Source organism: Homo sapiens, chromosome 4, assembly GCF_000001405.40.
Source record: "Homo sapiens chromosome 4, GRCh38.p14 Primary Assembly".
Taxonomy (NCBI): Eukaryota; Metazoa; Chordata; class Mammalia; order Primates; family Hominidae; genus Homo; species Homo sapiens.
This window is the reverse complement of record NC_000004.12, coordinates 175,465,800-175,488,269: the sequence shown is the minus strand read 5'-3', so window position 1 is coordinate 175,488,269 and position 22,470 is coordinate 175,465,800. Positions and strand designations below refer to the sequence as shown.

At 37.7% G+C, this 22,470-nt stretch overlaps 1 annotated feature.

Annotated features, from left to right (window-relative positions):
- Nucleotides 20,976–21,500: an enhancer, noted in NCBI's record as "NANOG hESC enhancer chr4:176387921-176388445 (GRCh37/hg19 assembly coordinates)". NCBI's record gives its function as "activates a minimal SCP1, AML or CMV promoter by ChIP-STARR-seq in naive H9 embryonic stem cells {active_cell/tissue: H9 hESC(naive)}" and the evidence as "EXISTENCE:reporter gene assay evidence [ECO:0000049][PMID:30033119]".

Below are 22,470 nucleotides of genomic sequence, written 5' to 3'. Positions count from 1 at the left end.
TTAGTCTTGGGAGGGTGTATGTGTCCAGGAATTTATCCATTTCTTCTAGATTTTCTAGTTTATTTGCATAGAGGTGTTTATATTATTCTCTGATGGTAGTTTGTATTTTGGGGGATCAGCGGTGAAATCTGCTTTATCATTTATTATTTTATCTATTTGATTCTTCTCTCTTTTCTTCTTTATTAGTTTAGTGGTCTATCTATTTTGTTATTCTTTTCAAAAAACCAACTCCTGGATTCACTGATTTTTTTGAAGGGTTTTTTTGTTTCTCTATTTCCCTCAGTTCTGCTCTGATCTTAATTATTTCTTGTCTTCTGCTAGCTTTTGAATTTGTTTGCGCTTCTCTAGTTCTTTTAATTGTGATGTTAGGGTGTCACTTTTAGATCTTTCCTCCTTTCTGATGTGGACATTTAGTGCTATAAATTTCCCTCTTAACACTGCTTTAGCTGTGTCCCAGAGATTCTGGTACATTGTCTCTTCGTTCTCATTGGTTTCAAAGAACTTCTCTATTTCTGCCTTAATTTCGTTGTATACCCAGTAGTCAGTCAGGTGCAGGTTTTTCAATTTCCATGTAGTTTTGTGGGTTTTAGTGAATTTCTAGTCCTGAGTTCTAATTTGATTGCACTGTGGTCTGAGAGACTGTTTGTTATGATTTCCATTCTTTCTTTTGCATTTGCTGAGAAGTGTTTTACTTCCAATTATGTAGTCGATTTGATATAGTGGTTTTATTAGAAATTTGTATTTCTGTGTGAGGTAGGAAGGAAGAGAAAGTTGAATTTGGTCAAATCAGTAAACAAATGTAATTTATAAAATGTAACTTTTTTCATCAGAATAAGCAACTTTGAGGAGCCAAGAGTTTCTTCTTTTGCCTATTGGTGTTTTATAATTCATTACTTATTGCTTTGAATATTTCATTTTCTTGGCATATGTGTTAAAGAGGAAAATACATATTTAATTAAAGTTCAAAAGAACATAACTTTGAGAACTGCATTTTGTATTTCAAAGAATGCATCACTCTTCAATGCTTTCAATTTACAAAAGAAGATGTATTGGTTCCTGTCAAGTATGTTTTTTGTTTTTGTTTTTGTTTTTGTTTTGAGACAGAGTTTCACTCTTTTGCCCAAGCTGGAGTGAAGTGGCACCATCTCGGCTCACTGCAACCTCTGCCTCCTGGGTTCAAGCAATTCTCCTGCCTCAGCCTCTTGAGTAGCTGGGATTACAGGCACACGCCACCACACCTGGCAAATTGTTGTATTTTTAGTAGAGATGGGGTTTTGCCATATTGACTAGGCTGGTTTTGAACTCCTGACCTCAAGTGATCCACCCATCTTGGCCTCCCAAAGTGCTAGGATTACAGGTGTGACCCACCATGCCCAGCCCAAGTATGATTTGATAAGCCTTATAGATGAGGTGTTTTACACAGGTGAAACATCCATCTTCACAGAATTTCTGGTTTGGAAAAGTACAATGACCATAAGACAGCCTGCATTAAAAGTAATTTTTATAAATTACTCATATCTCACAGTTCATTTTACTGTGACTTATGTCTTTGGGTCTCAAGAAAATATGCTTAATTCATATATAAAAACATTAAGGCTCACAGAATTTTGTTCAAACAAATATATTTTGTTAGTCATTGGCAGTCAGAAATTAAAATCTGATCTTTAAATAATCAATTATGTCTTCTTTCCATTAGCTGATGCTGTCTTTTGCCAATAAATGCTAATTTAAAAGTATTATAAAGAGAATATAAAACATATTTCTTTCTTGGATTATTTATTATTTTACATTTTTAACATTATTTTGCTTATTTAAAAAAATGATAAATTTGCATCATTGCAAATGGAATGGTAGTTACACATTACTTTTGAGGTTTACATTATGGGTTCATGAAAAGTCAGGTCAAATGATTTATAAAGGTTCCTACATGGAAGTGATTAACCAGGATGAGTTAAAAAACATTACTGCTGAATTTCACTCAGTCCATCTGTCTGTCTTTAGATTCCAGTTATATTTAATCTTTTTATTCTTAGATTTGACTTTCGAATATTAGAATTTTGGAGCACTTTGAAAAATTAAAAGCATCTAAAGAATGTAAAATACAGGCAATATTTTAATATTCTGTTACATTATATGAATACCTCTAGCTTGTATAAATTAAGCGATATCAGTATTTGCTTTAGTGCTTGATGTTTTTCTCTTACTGCTTTTGAGATTTTCTCTTTGCTGTTTGCTTTCAGTATTTTTATTATGATAGGGTGTCCTCTTTCTGTTTGTCCTATTTGCAGTTTTTTGAGCTTTTTAAATGTGTAGATTAATGTTTTTCATCACATTATGGAAGTTTTTGTTAATTATATATTTGAATATTATTCCTCCTTTCCCCTTTCTTTGCTTTTAGTACTTTGTGAATATGTTGATTCACTTAATGGTGTCCCTCGTTACTGTAAAGTAGTGTTTATTTTTCTTTAATCTTTTCTCTCTCTGTTGTTTGGATTATATCATCCATATCAATCTATCTTCAAGTTTGCAGATTCTTTTTGGCCAGTTCAAATAATCTGATGAGCCCTTTTGTGTGTGTGTGGCAGGGTCTTGCTCTGTTGCCCAGGCTGGAGTGCAGCAGCGTGATCTTGGCTCACTGTAATTTCTGCCTCCCAGGTTCAAGTGATCCTCCTGCTTCAGCCTTCTGAGTAGCTGAGACTACAGGTGCACGCCACCATGCCTGGCTAATTTTTGTATTTTTGGTAGAGACGGGGTTTCACCCTGTTGCTCAGGCTGGTCTGAAACTCCTGGGCTCAAGTCATCCACCTGCCTCGGCCTCTCAAAGTGCTGGGATTACAGGGCCGTGAGCCACTGCGCCCGGCCTGATGAGCCCATTCAATGAATTTTTTTCACTTACTGTACTTTTCAATTCCAGAACTCCCATTTGATTCATTTTTGAAATTTCTATTTATTTATGGATATTCTCTAGTTAAGATATTGTCATCATGCTTTCCTTACTTCTTTAAGCACTAATTTACTTCTTGGAACACATTTATAATGGCTGCTTTAAAATCTTCATTAAGTCTGACATGTGACCCTTTTGCACGCACGTTCTGTTGCCTGTTCTTTTCCTGTGTAAGTAGGACTAGTTTTCTACTAGTCCACTTCTTTTTTGGCTTTTTGACACACAGTTTTACTCTGTCACCCAGGCTGGAGTTCAGTGGTGATCACAGCTCACTGCATCACTGAACTCTTGGATTCAAAGGATTCTTTTTTTTGTTTTTGTTTTTGTTTTTGTTTTGAGACGGAGTCTCGCTCTGTTGCCCAGGCTGGAGTGCAGTGGCACGATCTCGGCTCACTGCAAGCTCCGCCTCCTCCCGAGTAGCTGGGACTGCAGGCGCCCGCCACTGTGCCCGGCTTTTTTTTTTTTTTTTTTTTTTTTTTGGTATTTTTAGTAGAGATGGGGTTTCACTGCGTTAGCCAGGATGGTCCCGATCTCCTGACCTCGTGATCCGCCCACCTCGGCCTCCCAAAGTGCTGGGATTAAAGGCGTGAGCCACCGCGCCCGGCCTCAAAGGATTCTTTAGCCTTGAACTTCTGAGTAACTGGAACTGCAGGCATGTATCACTATGCCCAGCTAAGTTTCAAATATTTTTTGTAGAGACAGTCTTGCCATCTTGCCTAGACTTGCTTCAGACTCTTGGCCTCAAGTGATCCTCTTGTCTTGGCCTCCCAAAATGCTGGGACTACAGGCATGAGTCACCATCCACAAATTCTTTATTGAATTTGTGGCTTGTTGACGATTCTAGGTGCATGCAGGTGTCTCAGTATCAGTTCCCTGCTCAGCTGAACCCAAGGCGTCATCTCCTGTCTCTGCATGGGCATGAAATCTCAAGTTCTAGATTGCTAATTCAATATGCCCTCAGCCATCAGAGCAGGTGGAGTGTCAACCAAAATGTTTATTGCTTTGGTTTAAGCTTGCCTTTGTTGAATGTGTGCCTTTAAAATTTTTTGATTGTATAAATTATTTAAGTGTTTAAAAAAGTATAAGGTGTGCTTTTAAGCAATATTATAAACAAGTTCAGGCAGGCAAGAGTATGTATTCTCCCATTAAATATTCTTTAAAGCCCAGTGGCTAAAATAATTTACTTAACTGGAAAACTAAGCATATAACAAGTAAAGGACAACTGAAATGAATACTTATGTAACTGTTAATGCTAATATTCTTCCATGAGGAATCATAGTCTTTAAAAATAAACCTCATCAAAATAATTCTTATCTACCTTTAACTTCTCCATGTCATTTAGTTACTTCCCACAATTACCACTTTTTGTTCTACTTAGTATACAAGTGTTCTTTAATTTCACTGACCAATGCCTTAATTTTAGGGATATGCTCAAAGAGAAAGTGTTGAAAAAGTAAACCCCTCTTCATTTGTCAACTTCAAAATCAAGCTTAGCAGTCAAGCAATGGCTGATGCTCCAATAAGCCTGTTTTCCATCTGTCCAGTTTCCAGTTTCTTTGCACCAGAAAAAAATTGTCAGTTCTCTGACACTGCAAATTTGTGAAAATTGGTGAGTATTCAGAAAGGTGGTAAAAATTGCCTTTGATTTGATTTTTATAGCATACCTATCAGCTTGTTGAATAATAATTTTTGAAAATTTGCCATTAAAATTATAAATGGTATTGTACATTGTTAGTGAGGATCGCACAATGTATGCCATTGAAGATTAACAGTGTATGACACCAGATGATATGCCATTTTGTCAGAAAGATTATTTTGAGCCAAAGGCACTCAAGAAGCAACAGATGCTAGAAATGAATTCTGATCTCCCCTTTTCTTCCTGAGAAAAGTATGTAAAAACTCCCATAAGAAAGATGTTCTCCCTGAACAAATATTCTTTCATAAGGAATCACAGTCTTTAAAAACAGACCTTCTCAAAATAATTCTTATTACCTTTAACTTCTCCACATCATTTAGGTACTTCCCATAATTACCACTGTTTGTTCTATTTAGTATATGAGTGTTCAACTCTGTGACTTCGGGTCTTCCTTTTATGAGGGCTCTTGTGTCAAATTAAAACTCAAATTAGTGGGAGCTAAATGATGAGAACACATGGACACATAGAGGGCAACAACTGGGGCCTATTGGAGGGTGTAAAATGGGAGGAGGAAGAGGATCAGGAATATAACTAATCAGTACTAGGCGTAATAGCTGGGTGATGAAATAATCTGCACAGCAAACCCCCGTGACACAAGTTCACCTATGTAAGAAACCTGCATGTGTACCCCTCAACTTAAAATGAAAGTTAAAACAAACAAAAAACACCTGTATTATATTTGTAGGCTTTTCTTCTGATAATCTATCTTACGTTAATTTAATAAGGCCCAGCTGGGGACCTTATGAAGGTTGAGGTAAAGCTTTGCCTTCCCTACATCATTAATATGAATACTTTTACTTCCACCAAAGGGAATTTTGTTGCATTACATTTTTTACAATATTTACATTTTATATTACACTTATAATAGAGAAGTAACAAAAGTCATGTCACAGCAAATCTTCCATAGTTTTAATCTATATAAGACTTGAAGACATTAAAAGGATATTACGACATTTCAAAAGGGAACATGTACTTTCTACCAAAAATAATGAGTTTGAGTGTTCATATCAACATTTTAAGAAATAGATAAAAAAAACTAGATATGTTTCCAAAATATAATTACTATAAAGGTTCCATTTGGTTTTCAAAACTTGCTTATTTTATTCATTATTTATTCATATCCTACTAAATTCTTTCTTTTTGTAATTAGTGGCTATGAAACCCAAATACTGCTCATAAGAATATGAACACATCTCAAAAACTCAGTTAACTACATATTCCCAGGAAACTAAAGACAAAAGTCAAGAAAAAAGGACACTAAATATAGTTAACATCTCTGATATGAAAGTATATTAATCTTCTTTGATTAGATTCAGGACCGTGGGGTAATTATTCCCAGACTTGATAGAATAAACTTGACTCTGGTACTAGCTGTTTAATTCTGAATTTCAATATCTCTATTTTTGAAATGTGGAAACAGTGCTTTTCTCAAAGGTCACGATAATGTTATGGATGAAATTGTGTTCCCCAGAAGGGTATGTTGAAATATTACCCTCCCAGTACTTGTGAATGTGGCTTTACTTGGAAACAGGGTCTTTGCAGATGTAATCAAATTAAAACGAGGACATAGTGGGGAGGAGGGGGAGTCTTAATTCAATATGGCTGTGTCCTTATAAAAAGACATGTGAAAACAGAGGAAAGATGGCCATGTGAAGATGGAGGTGAAGATAGGAGTGATGTTGCCACAAGCCAAGGAACATCCAGGGGTACCTGAAACGGCAGGAAGCAAGGAAAGATCCTCTGCCCAGAGGCTTCGGAGGGAGCATGACACTACTAACACTTTGATTTTGCACTTCCTACCTCCAAAACTGAGATAATAATGTTTTGTTTTCTTAAACCTTTTAGTTTATGATACCTTATTAAGTTAGCCCTGGGAAACTATGATAGGTTGCTTTTATGGTTTTGACGATCTTGGAAAACATTGCTTAATTTTACTCTTACACTTTTTTTCACCATTCTATAGGATATTGATAAGTTGAAACTTCTAAGAAAATTATACTTATAGAATTTACAGAGTGTGAGGACTTAAAAGTAAATTTGAACCTCAATATCAAGCTATTCACAGACCAAAGGGAGAAAACCCTTTTCATAAAACTCATGTTTCTTTTTATGTTTTACCTTGGGAGAATGGATTGAGACAGATAGTGCTTCACTGTCTGTATCTAAAAGAGAATTTTATTCAGTTTCTAGACATTGCACGTGAGATATATCAATCATGTGAAATATGCTGTATATCTCTGAAAAGCCAAATTCCACAGACGACAAACACATTATCTCTGTAAGATATTATTTCACTTTGCCAAGAAACGACAAACTAGTCTACCTATATTACTTTTCATCTAAAATATTCATTGACTTCTCTATTATGCTTAAAAAAGATTTTTAGCATTTTAAAACCATTGTTCAAAATATAGATATCATATGAAGAGCAATAAATTTTTACTCAGGTTAATGATTTATTGAATCACATACCTAATAATACATCTTTTATGAGTCTGATCAAATAAAGTAACCAAAACAGGCTGAAATAACAAAAGCCACTCTTTCACTGGCCAGCTAAAATGGCCGAAGGTAGAAAAGAAGTCATGATAAATAAGAACAAATAACACTCCTGAGACAAATCCTTATTTGTTCCTGTGATCTTGATGTAAATTTAATGTAAAAGAACTTTGATTTAGGGAGGGGGTTGTCAATTTGATATTTCTTATATTGCCATTTCATAGTTTGTTTTTATGATATTCTTAACTTCTCCAAGCATTCTAATTTCTGTAAGATTTTCTGGCCAGTACCTGAAAGCATGACCCAGTGATATACGGTGCTTGTTAGAAACAGTTGAGTAACCAAGGTATTGAGGCTTCATTTTCCTTTAAATATAGAAGCCATTGAGAATACCCATCTGCCAGAGATACAAGTTTTCATTTCCTCTGCTTCAAAATTGTAAAATGAATAGCTTATTAAATGTGATATAAAAATAATGGACTTCACAGCATTGTAATTCTCTGCCATAAAAAAGCAATCAAATTGGTAGAGCTAACATTGGTGCCTCGAACAATGCAAGCTATTAAGTAAAATTGGAAAGAAATTGTTCAATAAATTATGCACTGTGCATTTGTGCTTGCTAGAGGCAGAATCTCTCTCACTCTCCCTCCTTTTGAAGTAAGCTTTTGTATGCTACAGTTTTCCTTTATGCACTTTGCTTTCTACGTGTTCAGTCTTGAATATTGTGTGTGTATGTGTGTGTGTGTGTGTGTGTGCAGACAAACACAAAGTAGGGGTTCACCTAAGATGAGAATAAAAGCTTAGACATCATGCTATCACTACTACACCATACATCAAATTGAAAAACAAAGCCAAAAACTCTTAGGACAGAATTCTTCAAAAGTGCTTGTGAAGACTTCAGTACATTATGTGTGTTATGAAGTCCAAGAGTGCCTCACTCACAGAGATATCTCCACATGCTTTCTAAAAAACTTTGCTAATTTGATATCATGTAAATAGTACTTCGTTGTTGCTTGATTTTGTATTTCTTTCATAACAAGGTCATTATTTTATTGCAGATTTGTTCATGATTTGAGTTCCCTTTTTTTCAGGTCTGTTTTTTTAGAATTGCCTTTTACTTTTAAAATTGGGGGTTTTGTTATTTTCTTTAATGGATTTAGTAGAGCGGATTTGATATTTATTTAATTTTTTCTTTTTGTATATACTTTGAACATATTAATATATTTTAGTTCTGAGGTTACTCTTTCATTATTTTTGTGATGTTTCTGCCATGTTGAACCTTGTAACATTTTATACTTAAATCTGTCAATTTCCCAATTTGTCATTTTTTATACATAGAAAATAACATTCATTGCAAGTTTAGATAAATGTTCACTTATAGATTTTGTAGTTCTTTCATTTAAAACAATCATAAAATGTTTCTGTAATTCATTTTATACATCAGAAATTTTTTAAAGACTAAACATGTCCATTTGCTAAATTATCCTCTCGTGATTTATTGAAATCTCATCATTATGTATATTTCATTCTATTAAGGTTAATTTTGTTACTTTCTATTATGTAATGATGATTCCATATAGTCTAATTATGAAATACCATATTAATTATTAATCAATTACTAATATGGTAATATTACCATATTAATATAATTACACATAAAAACACATAATTGTGTTTCATAGTAAGTGGTAGTAAAATCAACCTCTATTATTCTTCCAAACCAAAATAATCTTGAATATTCTTAAAATACAATTTACAATTAGTTTTTCTAGTCTCAAAAGCATGCCTTTGATACTTGCTTGAAATTACTTCCTATTTATTGATACATTTCAGAAACATCAATTACATAGCTTAATGTTAAGAGCTCAGAGCCAAGAGACAGACTACCAGGTTTAATCCTGGTATTGCAGTGAAGTGGTGAGATTTCAGCTCACTGCAACCTCCGCCTCCCGGGTTCAGGCATTCTCATGTGTCAGCCTCTCGCGTAGCTGGGATTACAGGCACGCGTCACCATGCTTGGCTAAGTGTGTGTGTGTGTGTGTGTGTGTGTGGTTGTGTGTGTGTGTGTGTGTTTAGTAGAGACCGGGTTTCTCCGTGTTGCCCAGGCTGGTCTCAAGCTCCTGAGCGCAGGCAATCTGCCCACTTCCGCCTACCAAAGTGCTGGGATTACAGGCGTAAACCATCGCGCCTGGCCCTGCCTTTCTGAACTGGAGAAAATTACCTAATCTCTCTGTACCTCAGATTTTTCCATCTGTAAGAGGTAGTGTAATAATACCTTGGGGAGAAGTCAGAAATAATATAATATTTAAATAGAATAATGTCCGGTATATTACAAGTTTTATTCAAGAATTTCTTAAATAAGCCGTGTCTCTATTTATTCAAGAGATTTGCAGAAGCATTGCATTTTTCTTATTACACTAAATTCTGGTTCCACGCCCTACCTTCCAGCCCCTGACAGTTCTATTCTTTCCTTCCATTTCCTTGCTTTAGCCTTATTGTTATTTTTCTTTTATTAAAATTAAAAATTGAATAGCGAGCATTCTTATCGTTGTTCCTTTTTACATGAACTATTTGGGGATGGGAACTTCTGTCCTGAGTGCAGCTTTGGCCACACTTGTTAAATGTTAATTTGTAGTAATTGTATTTTTTTTCCCTTTGTGACTATTGGCCAGCCCATAGTTTCAAGCTCAAATTCACCCAAGTTTAAATATGTGCAATGTTTTTGAAATTTAATGCTGATTTGGATTCTGCTATGACAATTTAATTGCCTTACCAATTATCTTCCCTCAAGCCATTTTTTTTCTATTTTTGTTCACGTGTTTGTTTTCATTCAGTTTGTGCTTACCATTTCGCCTTTTCATATTTTATTTTACAAAAGCTAAAACTTCTTGAATTCTATGGAACTATAAATTTATTCCTTGTTAAATTTTTTAAAAATATTTTTCAAATGCATGAATTTCTCCTAAAAGAGGAATCATATATCTTTCTTTTTTAAAGATATAATTCTATAATTTCACAGGCCTGTTTGTCTTTGAATTCATCTGATTAATCAGAAATCTATTGTCAATTGAGAAAAATTTTGAGACAAGTCTCAATCATTTTAGGAGGTTTATTTGCCAAAGTTAAGGATGTGTGCCCATAACACAGCCTCAGGAGGTCCTGATGACATGTGCCCAAGGTGGTCAGGGTACAGCTTGGTTTTATACATTTTAGGGAAACATGAAGCATCAATCAATATATGTAAGAAGTATATTGGTTGCATCCAGAAAGGCAGAGGCAGCTCAAAGCAGGGAGGGGGCTTCCAAATCACAGGTGAAAGACATATTCCAAAGGAGGCAATCAGAATATGTATCTATGTCAGAGAGCAGAGGGATGACTTTGAATAGAATGGGAGGCAGGTTTGCCCTGAAAAGTTCCCAGCTTGACTTTTCCCTTAGTTTAGTAATTTTGGGGCCCCCAAGATTTTCCATTCACACTATCCACAACTACTTTTTTTATTGAAAGCAGGATGGGAAGAATCAACTCAGTTTCTCGGTTGATACCTTCCAACTATTAACATCTCTTTCCAAGACGTTATACATGAAGCCTAACTGATATGCATAGACCCTAATCAACTTCCTGATATTTTATTGTCCTTTAATAACCACTGGTCTGAAACTATATCTGCTAATCTAATAATGTCATCTTGCTGTGAATTTTAACATTTCTTCTGAGAGGACTTGAAATAGTTTGTACCATTTTATTTGCTAGAAAAAATAATTAAAAATATAAATTTCCTATGATATTTATTACTGCTTCTTCTGTTGCCAACATTTTTGTTCCATAACAAAGCATCAAGTCATGTCTATAATGCAAAGATTTTTGGAAACGTAGCCCTAGAATTAATGTGCAAATGTGGAGTATCAAACAGGAAGATGGGGGACTGAGAGCTCTGGTTACCTGGGAAATCAGCACCCAGAATGGGCAATAGCTCTGTTTCCTCCTGTCTGAGACAGGACTGACCACTGCAAAACATGGGATTAGTGCATGAGGTTAGGTGGCAGACAATCAAATATACTTTCAACTGATGACAGAATATCAAATATACTTTCAACTGAACAATCATACCCATCTCTCATCTCCCTTGTAAGGGAATCCAGCCCTTAGTCATGGATCACGATTTGCCTAAGTCAGTCAAAACTATCCTATTGTCCTTTGCCAGAAACTTGATTTTCTCTGCAACCTTTCCAGTGACATATTAGGTTAACTCCTATGGGAAGCTTCTAGGAAGACTTTTGCTTGACTAATGAAAGAGACAAATGTAGCTGGTACTTTGTCTTTCTATGTTCCCTTTGCCTGGAACTCAGCCCTGATATTGCCCTGTAGCAGCCCTCTTGTGACCATGAGGAAACAAACATGATGATGAATGGACAACATAGGCAGAAATACAAGAAAAAACTCCCAGATCGGGGATTTAATGACATTGCTGACCACTGAACTATAGCAACTACCAATATCATATTTTACTTTATGTTAAAAAATAACATCTATTTAAATCACTGAACCTTGGACTTTTTACTTATATTTGAAAGCATTTCTGCTCAGAAAGATATCTGCTACTGTTTTCTCCATTATTTTTTCACAAGGTTACATCAGTATTTGGGTAGTAGAAATTCATCTTCAATCCTTGTAAATTATTGACTAAAATACCATTCAGGACATAGGCATGGGCAAGAACTTCATGTCTAAAACACCAAAAGCAATGGCAACAAAAACCAAAATTGACAAATGGGATCTAATTAAACTAAAGAGCTTCTGCACAGCAAAAGAAACTACCATCAGAGTGAACAGGCAACCTACAAAATGGGAGAAAATTTTTGCAATCTACTCATCTGACAAAGGGCTAATATCCAGAATCTACAATGAACTCAAACAAGTTTACAAGAAAAAAACAACCCCATCAAAAAGTGGGAGAAGGATATGAACAGACACTTCTCAAAAGAAGACATTTATGCAGCCAAAAGACACATATAAAAATGCTCATCATCACTGGCCATCAGAGAAATGCAAATCAAAACCACAATGAGATACCATCTCACACCAGTTAGAATGGCAATCATTAAAAAGTCAGGAAACAACAGGTGCTGGAGAGGATGTGGAGAAATAGGAACACTTTTACACTGTTGGTGGGACTGTAAACTAGTTCAACCATTGTGGAAGTCAGTGTGGCGATTCCTCAGGGATCTAAAACTAGAAATACCATTTGACCCAGCCATCCCATTACTGGGTATATACCCAAAGGATTATAAATCATGCTGCTATAAAGACACATGCACACATATGCTTATTGCGGCACTATTCACAATAGCAAAGACTTGGAACCAACCCAAATGTCTAACAATGGTAGACTGGATTAAGAAAATGTGGCATTTATACACCATGGAATACTATGCAGCCATAAAAAAGATGAGTTCATGTCCTTTGTAGGGACATGGATGAAGCTGGAAACCATCATTCTCAGCAAACTATCGCAAGGACAAAAAACCAAACACCACATGTTCTCACTCATAGGTGGGAATTGAACAGTGAGAACACATGGACACAGGAAGGGGATCATCACACACCTGGGCCCATTGTGGGGTAGGGGGAGTGGGTAGGGATAGCATTTGGAGATATACCTAATGTTAAATGACGAGTTACTGGGTGCAGCACACCAACATGGCACATGTATACATATGTAACTAACCTGCACGTTGTGCACATGTACCCTAAAACTTAAAGTATAATAAAAAATAATAATAATAATAATAAAGGTTAGTTGACTACAAAAAAAATTACATTTCCCAGTATGGGCAAAACTTTATATTGTAGTATGTATATATTTATAGCTCTGATAACTGAACAGTAAATGAAGGAAAATTAGTTGTCCATAGGTAATGAGCAGTGTAACTCCAAGTCATATTATAAGCAAATAATTTATATGACTAAAATTTCCATTCTGCAAGAGTATCACAGTTCAGGATTTTAATCTGCAACAGAGGTACAGGTTGAGTTTCTATTATTCAACATACTTGGGACAAGAAGTGTTTCAGACTTCCATTTTTATTTTTTGCATTTTGGAATATTTGCCTTATACTTACCAGTTGAGCATCCCAAATTTAAAAAATCTGAAATGCGCAAACGAGCATTTTTTAGGGTCATGTCAGTGTTCAAAAGTTTTGGATTTTAGTACATTTCAGATTTCAGATTTTCAGATTTAGAATGCTCAACCTGTACTTAGTTTATTCGCCCATATTCCACTGCCACTTCTGTTATGGGTAGACAACTTCGTGATGTATTAGAAGAAAACTCTCCTGTTAGTTTACACACTCCACTCTACATTTACCTATCAGATGTGGTATTTCCCCTTTCATGGAGGGCAGTGATTTCAACGGCTACAGAAATAGAGAAAAGATATCTGTAGAAACAACCACATACCTTTTTGTCTTTGTGGTTTTGAGTTTTGGAGACTGTATCCTGCAAAACAACTCATTTTTTTCTATAATAAAATTTATCACAATAGCACTTGACAATTTTTTTCATGCTCTAGAGTATCAACTCCTCAAAGGCAAGGGTGATAGTGCCTGGCATATAGTAGTTATTCAATAAAAGCGTACTTGGTTAATGCATGAACTACCCAGTTTTCAGACAGCTTTTTTTGAGTAGATTTTATTTTTTAGAGCAACTTTGGATTCATAGCCAAGTTGTGTAGAAGGTACAGAGATTTCCCATATATCCTCAGTCCCCACACAGGACAGTTTTCCCCACTTTTGACAACCCCCACCAGAGTGGTACATTTGCTACAACTGATGAACCTACATTAGCACATCATTGTCACCCAAAGTTTATAGCGTACATAGGGTTTCACTTCTGGCATTTTACATTATATAGGTTTTGTCAAGTTGTATAAAGACATGTGTCCACAATTATAGTATTATACAGAATAGCTTCACTGCTCTCAAAATTCTCTGATCTCAGTCTATTCATCCCTCCCTTCTTTCTAACCACTGGCAACAACTGCTTTTTTATTATTTCTATAGGTTTGCCTTTTCCAGAATGTTGTATAGTTGAAATCTTTCCATTATATAGCCTCTTGAGAATGGCTTCTTTCACCTAATAATATGCATTTCAGTTTCCACTCTGTCTTCTCATGGCTTGATAGCTCATTTCTCTTAAGTGGTAAATAATATTCCATTTGTAATGCCCAACCTGGTTTTTACTAACTCTGTTTTTAGACTCTCCCTTTTCCTTTAATCACCTAGCCTTGTTTCCACCTGAATTGACTCTCCCTTAGCTAAGAGAGCCAGACAGACTCCATCTTGGCTCTTTCACTGGCAGCCCCTTCCTCAAGGACTTAACTTGTGCAAGCTGACTCCCAGCACATCCAAGAATGCAATTAACTGATAGGATACTGTGGCAAGCTATATCCGCAGTTCCCAGGAATTCGTCCGATTGATAATGCCCAAAGCCCCGGGTCTATCACCTTGTAACAGTCTTTTTTTTTTTTTTTTTTTTGAGACGGAGTCTCGCTCTGTCGCCCAGGCTGGAGTGCAGTGGCGGGATCTCGGCTCACTGCAAGCTCCGCCTCCCGGGTTCACGCCATTCTCCTGCCTCAGCCTCCCAAGTAGCTGGGACTACAGGCGCCCGCCACTACGCCCGGCTAATTTTTTGTATTTTTAGTAGAGACGGGGTTTCACCGTTTTAGCTGGGATGGTCTCGATCTCCTGACCTCGTGATCCGCCCGCCTCGGCCTCCCAAAGTGCTGGGATTACAGGCGTGAGCCACTGCGCCTGGCCACCTTGTAACAGTCTTAAAGCCCCTGCACCTGGAACTGTTTACTTTCCTGTAACCATTTATCCTTTTAACTTTTTGACTACTTTACTTCTGTAAAATTGTTTTAACTAGATCCCCCACTCCCCTTCCTAAACCAAGGTATCAAAGTTAATCAAGCCCCTTCCTCAGAGCCGAGATAATTTTGAGTGTTAGCCGTCTCTCGGTTGCCGGCTAATAAAGGACTCTTAATTCGTCTCAAACTGTAGTGTTTTTCTAACTTGCTCGGGTACAACAGTTGGAGGCCCCAGCGAAATTTTAACGCCAGCGGGCAAGAGCCGGTCTCACTCCGGGCTCCCCCGGAAGGACGGCTGGCCTGTAGGGAAGCCGCCACCTGCAAAGACGAAATTTTCAGGTTCCCGAAGGGTGACCGTCTTCCGGAGGACAGCGGATCGACTACCGTGTGGGTGCCCTAAAATTCAACATCTGAGTCCTCAGCTTCTGACTCCGGGGTCAGGTAGGTCAGATTTGACTTCGTTCTGGTTCTGGTAAGAGGGAAGCAGCCCTGACAAGGGCATCCCTCTTTTGACTCTGCCCATTACTCTACGACGCTAGAGGGTTGAGCCTTGGTTTTCTGGTGGGCACCTTTGTGTCTTGGTTTGGGTGGGAATGGTCCTGACAGGGGCCCTCCCTTGACTCGGTTCACATCCCAAGATGCTGGGGAACTGAGCTTTGGTTTCTGGCAGACCGGTGTCTGTCTGTCTCTCTCTCTCTCTCTCTCTCTCTCTCTCTCTCTCTCTTCTTCTCTCCCTTTTTCTATCTTTCATCCTTCTTTTGTTCAGGGTGCGGTGGCTCACGCCTGTAATCCCAGCACTTTGGGAAGCCGAGGTGGGCGGATCACGAGGTCAGGAGATCGAGACCATCCTGGCTAACATGGTGAAACCCTGTCTCTACTAAAAATACAAAAAAAAAAAAAATTAGCTGGGCATGGTGGCTGTCACCTGTAGTCCCAGCTACTCAGGAGGCTGAGGCAGGAGAATGGCGTGAACCCAGGAGGTAGAGCTTGCAGTGAGCCGAGATTGCGCCACTGCACTCCAGCCTGGGTGACGGAGCGAGATTCCGTCTCAAAACAAAACAAAACAAAACTCTAATCCTTGAATGCTCTAGGAGACTAATTTGAGTAATAATAAAACTCCGGTCTCCCACACAGCCGGCTCTGCATGAATTACTCTTTCTCTATTGCAATTCCCCTGTTTTGATAAATTGGCTCTGTCTAGGCAGCAGGCAAGGTGAACCCATTGGGTGGTTACAGCAGTAACCATTTATTAACATGAAAATATTATTTCTAGAGTTCTACAAGGTAAATAGCCAAAATAATGTTATGTAAAGTTTTTTTTTCTTTCTAATGAAGAAAAGATAATTCCCATGTTCATTGCACATCATTAACAAAAACAGATATGAAAATAACCTAAATGTTTATTGGCAGAGGAATGGATAAACAAAATGAGACACACACACACACACACACACACAATGGGATATTATTCAGCCTTAATAAAGAAGGAAATCCTGCCATTTGCAACAATAAGGATGAACCTGGAAGACATAATGTTAAGTGAAATGAGCAAGACACAGAAAGACAAATACTACTGGGAGGAGTGAGTGTGCACTGGGCTGGGGCCTCGGGAGGTTTGCTCACTTTTGCAGCAAGGAAGAGCCTGGCCTCTCCTCTTCCTGGGTGGTAACCTAGAATTCAATCTGTGAGGTGGGAAACCTGCTAGCAGGACTCTTACTTTGCTGAGAGTCTCTGTTTCCATTTTTTTCTTTTTTGACCAATAAATTCCATTTTTCTCACCCTTCTATGTGTCTGCAAGCCTAATCTTTCCTGGTCGTGTGACAAGAACCCTACACTATGTGATTTCACATATATGTGGAATCAAAAAAGCTGAACTCATAGAAAGAGAGTAGAAAGGTGGTTACCAGGGTTGAGGTTAGGAGAAATGGGGAGATGTTGATCAAAAGGTAAAAACTTGCAGTTTAAATGCAAGTTCTGAAGCCCTAATATACAGTATGGTGAATATAGTTAATAACAATGTATTGTATGCTTGAAATTTGCTAAAATAGTAGATGTTAAGTATTCTCACTACAAAAAATATATATAACCATGTGAGGTGATGGATATGTTAATTAGCTCGATCATGGTAATCATTTCATATGTATCAATATATGTATACATAGATTGAAATATCACATTGTATGCCTTGGATATTTACAATTTTTATTTGCCAAGTATACCTCATTGAAGCTGGGTAAAAAAGATTATTGATCTATAAATACTTAGAATCCCAATGTCTGAACTGCATTTTCAGAGGAAATCAGCCATTGACTGTCCCAATCTGCAGTAGCAGCCATATGAACAAGGCATCAACTAGAAGCTGGATTTGTTCAGGTAGACAAATCTAGTGGCAAGGGCAGAGGAAATCATCTGATGCCAATCACAACAGACCTTTACTTTGAACTCCTGACCCATAACCTCAATCATTCAGCCACATTATAGGAGCCATGAAAGCACTGAAACTATAAATTTATATAACTATAAATTTATATAATCTATAAAGAATAACCAAATTATTCAACCTGCTCTATCCTGAGGCCAGCGTGACAGAATGAAAAGGTTGGGTCAGCTATGGCATTTTGACTTTTTTACCTTTTCGTGCAGGTACCTAGTAGAATGGTCCTCATGCAGTTAAAACAGTTTGGCTCTTTAAGAGTGCTAATTTGGTTCAATCTTTTTTTTTCTTTCTTTTTTAAATCAAATCCTCACATCTCAGATGACTGGTTCAATCTTATTTGTAGATTAGAGAGATAGACAATAGTCTAGTAGAAAATTACTGATATGAGCTCAGAAGCCATCTATAAAATAAAGCTCTCATTTATATTATGTTTTGTGGTTTTGCCTTAGCAGATCTCTATCAGCCCTCAGAGGGCATCCTGAAGGATACTAGTCAAGTGAAAAGAATGCTGAAAATGTTGTCTTAAGGAACAAGTGAGATACGTGGATGATTTTTAGGCAGATTTGGCATCAAAATATGGGCTAGGGTTCCTCTCAAAAGAATCTGAGAAATTAAGAAAAAGACCATGATTAGGGAAAAATGGCTAATATAGTGATGGATAGAAGTAAACACATAAATATGAAATAGAAAGGAAGTAAAAATGAACAAAAAATAAAAGACAATGCTCAGTTAACAAAACATAGTGTTATATCTTCTCCTGTTCTGATTTTACCACACACAGGAAAAATTAAATAAATACTGGAGTAAAACTGGCAATAGTAATTTTTAAATATGAGTTTAGAAGCACTTTAAAAAAAAAAGGTCAAAGAAATGATCAGGTTGGGCTAGTGAAGATAAATGTGATGTGTCCGCTATCAGTTTATTTTAAAGAAATTTAGATGACATAGTAAATAAGTCAAGCCTCCTTCAATGAAAAGCAGATTGATTTTTGCAACTTGTGGTACTTGGTTGGTCACAAGGCCTGTGTTACCAGGCCCAAGGTGTGCCTGAAACATAAATCCTGAGGCCACTAATAAGGAGCTCTGACTTCAAATCCTCAAGGAATCAAGCAGCAGTCCTGTGGACTGAGTCGCGTTGCCTTGGGCTATAGTTTTCTTTACAGCCTCCTGGCTGGCAGCCAGCAGAAGAACAGCATCTGAAGACAAATCTGAGAGTGACTGCTCACAGTGCCAGAGTATGGAGTGAAAATGGTGATTAGAAAGAAGGACAATTGGCCAATTTTCTGCACCTTCATTAAGATGTTTAAAAATCCACACTTACTTGTGAAAGTCAGAGATGCTCAAAAACTGCTTTCAGCATTCAGGAAAAACAAGAGAACCAGAACCAAGGAAAATACATGAAAAGGAATGGAACAATGTAATTTCGAATCTACAACACTGTTCAATGGATACTGTGGAAGGAATCTAGGAAAATGAAATGAGTTTCTTCCACATACATGTTCTAGCATAGGAAGAATTCTAATAATATATTCCTTAGAACTTGTGAGTAATCTGGAGTAATATTCATCAAAACATTGCAAGAAATGGAGGATTATTATGTTGTTCTATCACCATATGAAATAGATGACACCATTAGCAACAAGTGTTATTTCTTTTTTTATATTATTATATATTTTATATAGATATTTATATTATTTGTTTAGATTGCTCTTAGAAGCACAGCCAGATCTGTTTAAGGAATCTTATCTAAGGCTTCCAGTTAAGATATAATAAGTTAACATTTTAAATTATATAACCTGACTTTTGTTTGTTTTGCAGTTGATACGGTTTAGAAGAAAATAAGCATAATACAAAAAATAAATGCTTGAGGGGATGGTTATGCCATTCTTTCATTAATCACAATAATGATGTGATTACTTCACGTTGCATGCCTGTATCTAAACATCTCATTTTTTTTACCCCCAAAATATATATACCTACTATGTACCAACAAAAAGAAAAAATAAAAATTACTTTGTACCCACAAAAAATAATTAAAATAAATTTTAAAAAATAAAAATTATGGCCGGGCATGGTGGCTCACGCCTGTAATCCCAACACTTTGGGAGGCCGAGGTGGGCGGATCACGAGGTCAGGAGATCGAGATCATCCTGGCTAACACGGTGAAACCCCGTCTCTACTAAAAATACAAAAAATTAGCCAGGCGTGGTGGCGGGCGCCTGTAGTCCTAGCTACTCAGGAGGCTGAGGCAGGAGAATGGCGTGAACCCAGGAGGTGGAGCTTGCAGTGAGCCAAGATTGTGCCACTGCACTCCAGCCTGGGCGACACAGCCAGACTCCGTCTCAAAAATAAATAAATAAATAAATAAATATTATTTTTATTGTGATGATCTGTTGGTTATGTCTTTCACAAATAAAGTATGGTGGAGGCCTGGAGCATTGGCTCACGCCTGTAATCCCATTACTTTGGGAGGCTGAGGGGGACAGATTACCTGAGGTCAGGAGTTCAAGACCAGCCTGGCCAACATGGTGAAACCCTGTCTCTACTAAAAATACAAAAATTAGTCAGGCATGGTGGTGGGCGCCTGTAATCCCAGCTACTCAGGAGGCTGAGGCAGGAGAATTGCTTGAACCAGGGAGGCAGAGGTTGCAGTGAGCTGACATCATGCCACTGCACTCCAGCCTGGGTGACACAGCAAGACTCTGTTCCCCCCTAGAAAAAAAAAATGTATATATATAGGGGAGGGACTCACAAAACATTTAAACATTTGGCTTTTTACTTTTCAAAAATATGAAATGTTCAAAGATTGTTTTGTTAAATACAATTTATAGGAGGCCGTGGAATGAGGCTCCTGCACTAAGCCTAACACATCAAACCAATATGGAGTTTAACTCTAGCAGCTGAGGTTTAGTTAATTTCAGGAGGCACTGTAGCCAAGTTATCAATAACTGAGCTGTCTCTACACTGCACTTTTGTTTCCTGTAAATGCTGTCAGATCATGTTATTGGTTGGAGCTTTCTAAACCTGCTGTTGTTCAAACAGCTGCTGATTCACAAATCATTTTTGTTTTCATTTACACAAATAAACTCAAACTTATCTAAGGTTTTCCTTTCTTTCCATTTAACACTTCAAAGGTCTATTTTTGATAAATATTTATATAAGCAATTAGATTATTCTCAAAAGTTAAAAATATTTCACAGAATAAAATTTGGTCTGAGGGTCTTTCAGGTTAAGAATAAGGTATCTGAGTGACCCCAGCTTTCAAAAATTAGCAAAACTTGTGTAGAACATGATGCAGATTTCAATGGGTGAACTTGATAACAATTTTTTTTATTTTCATGCAACAATTACTAAATAGAAAAGCATATTAAAATATTTATTTCTCCAAGTAAATTGTCACATTAGAAATATTGGTATTTAATTAAACTTTTGTATCACTTCCTCAGAACAGTAATTATTTCGGGCAAAAAAATGAAAAAATAAACTACCTCTCTGTGCTCTGGACCTCTCTCCTGTACCTTCAGGACAATACTATTTTGGAATAATCCAAGCCAAATTGACAAAAAAAGATCCATAGCTGGTGTCATTTGTAAGTGAAGACAATCATTGACTTTTGTAAATATTCTCTATTTTTAATTATTATGTGTCAGGCCTCTGAGCCCAAGCCAAGCCATCGCATCCCCTGTGACTTGCACGTATACACCCAGATGGCCTGAAGTAACTGAAGAATTACAAAAGAAGTGAATATGCCCTGCCCCGCCTTAACTGATGACATTCCACCACAAAAGAAGAAAGTGTAAATGGCCCGTTCTTGCTTTAACTGATGACATTCCACCACAAAAGAAGTAAAAATGGCCGGTCCTTGCCTTAAGTGATGACATTACCTTGTGAAATTCCTTCTCCTGGCTCATCCTGGCTCAAAAAGCTCCCCCACTGAGCACCTTGCAACCCCCACTCTGCCCACCAGAGAACAACCCCCCTTTGACTGTAATTTTCCTTTACCTACCCAAATCCTATAAAACAGCCCCACCCCATCTCCCTTCACTGACTCTCTTTTCGGACTCAGCCCGCCTGCACCCAGGTGAAGTAAACAGCCTTGTTGCTCACACAAAGCCTGTTTGGTGGTCTCTTCACAGGGACGCGCATGAAATTTGGTGCCGTGACTCAGATTGGGGGACCTCCCTTGGGAGATCCATCCCCTGTCCTCCTGTTCTTTGCTCCGTGAGAAAGATCCACCTATGACCACAGGTCCTCAGACCAACCAGCTCAAGAAACATCTCACCAATTTCAAATCCGGTAAGCAGCCTCTTTTTACTCTCTTCTTCAACCTCCCTCACTATCCCTCAACCTCTTTCTCCTTTCAATCTTGGTGCCACACTTCAATCTCTCCCTTCTCTTTATTTCAATTCCTTTCATTTTCTGGTGGAGACAAAGGAGACACGTTTTATCCATGGACCCAAAACTCTGGCGCCAGTCACGAACTAGGGAAGGCAGCCTTCCCTTGGTGTTTAATCATTGCAGGGACACCTCTCTGATTATTCACCCAGGTTTCAGAGGTGTTAGACCACACAGGGACACCTGCCTTGGTCCTTCACCCTTAGCAGCAAGTCCCGCTTTTCTGGGGGAGAGGCAAGTACCCCAACCCCTTCTCTCCATGTCTCTACCCCTTCTCCGCATGTCTCTACCCCTTCTCTGCATTTCTGGGGGGCAAGAAACCCCCAACCCCTTCTCCTTCACCCTTAGCAGCAAGTCCCGCTTTTCTGGTGAAGGGGCAAGTACCCCAACCTCGTATCTCTGTGCCCCGATCCCTTATTTCCATGCCCCGACCTCCTATCTCTGTGCCCCAACCCCTTCTCTGCTTTTCTGGAGGGCAAGAACCCCCCACCACTTCTCCCTGTCTCGTCTCTTCTCTGGGCTTTCCTCCTTCACTATGGGCAAGCTTCCACCTTCCATTCCTCCTTCTTCTCCCTTAGCCTGTGTTCTTAAGAACTTAAAACCTCTTCAACTCTCACCTGACCTAAAATCTAAGCA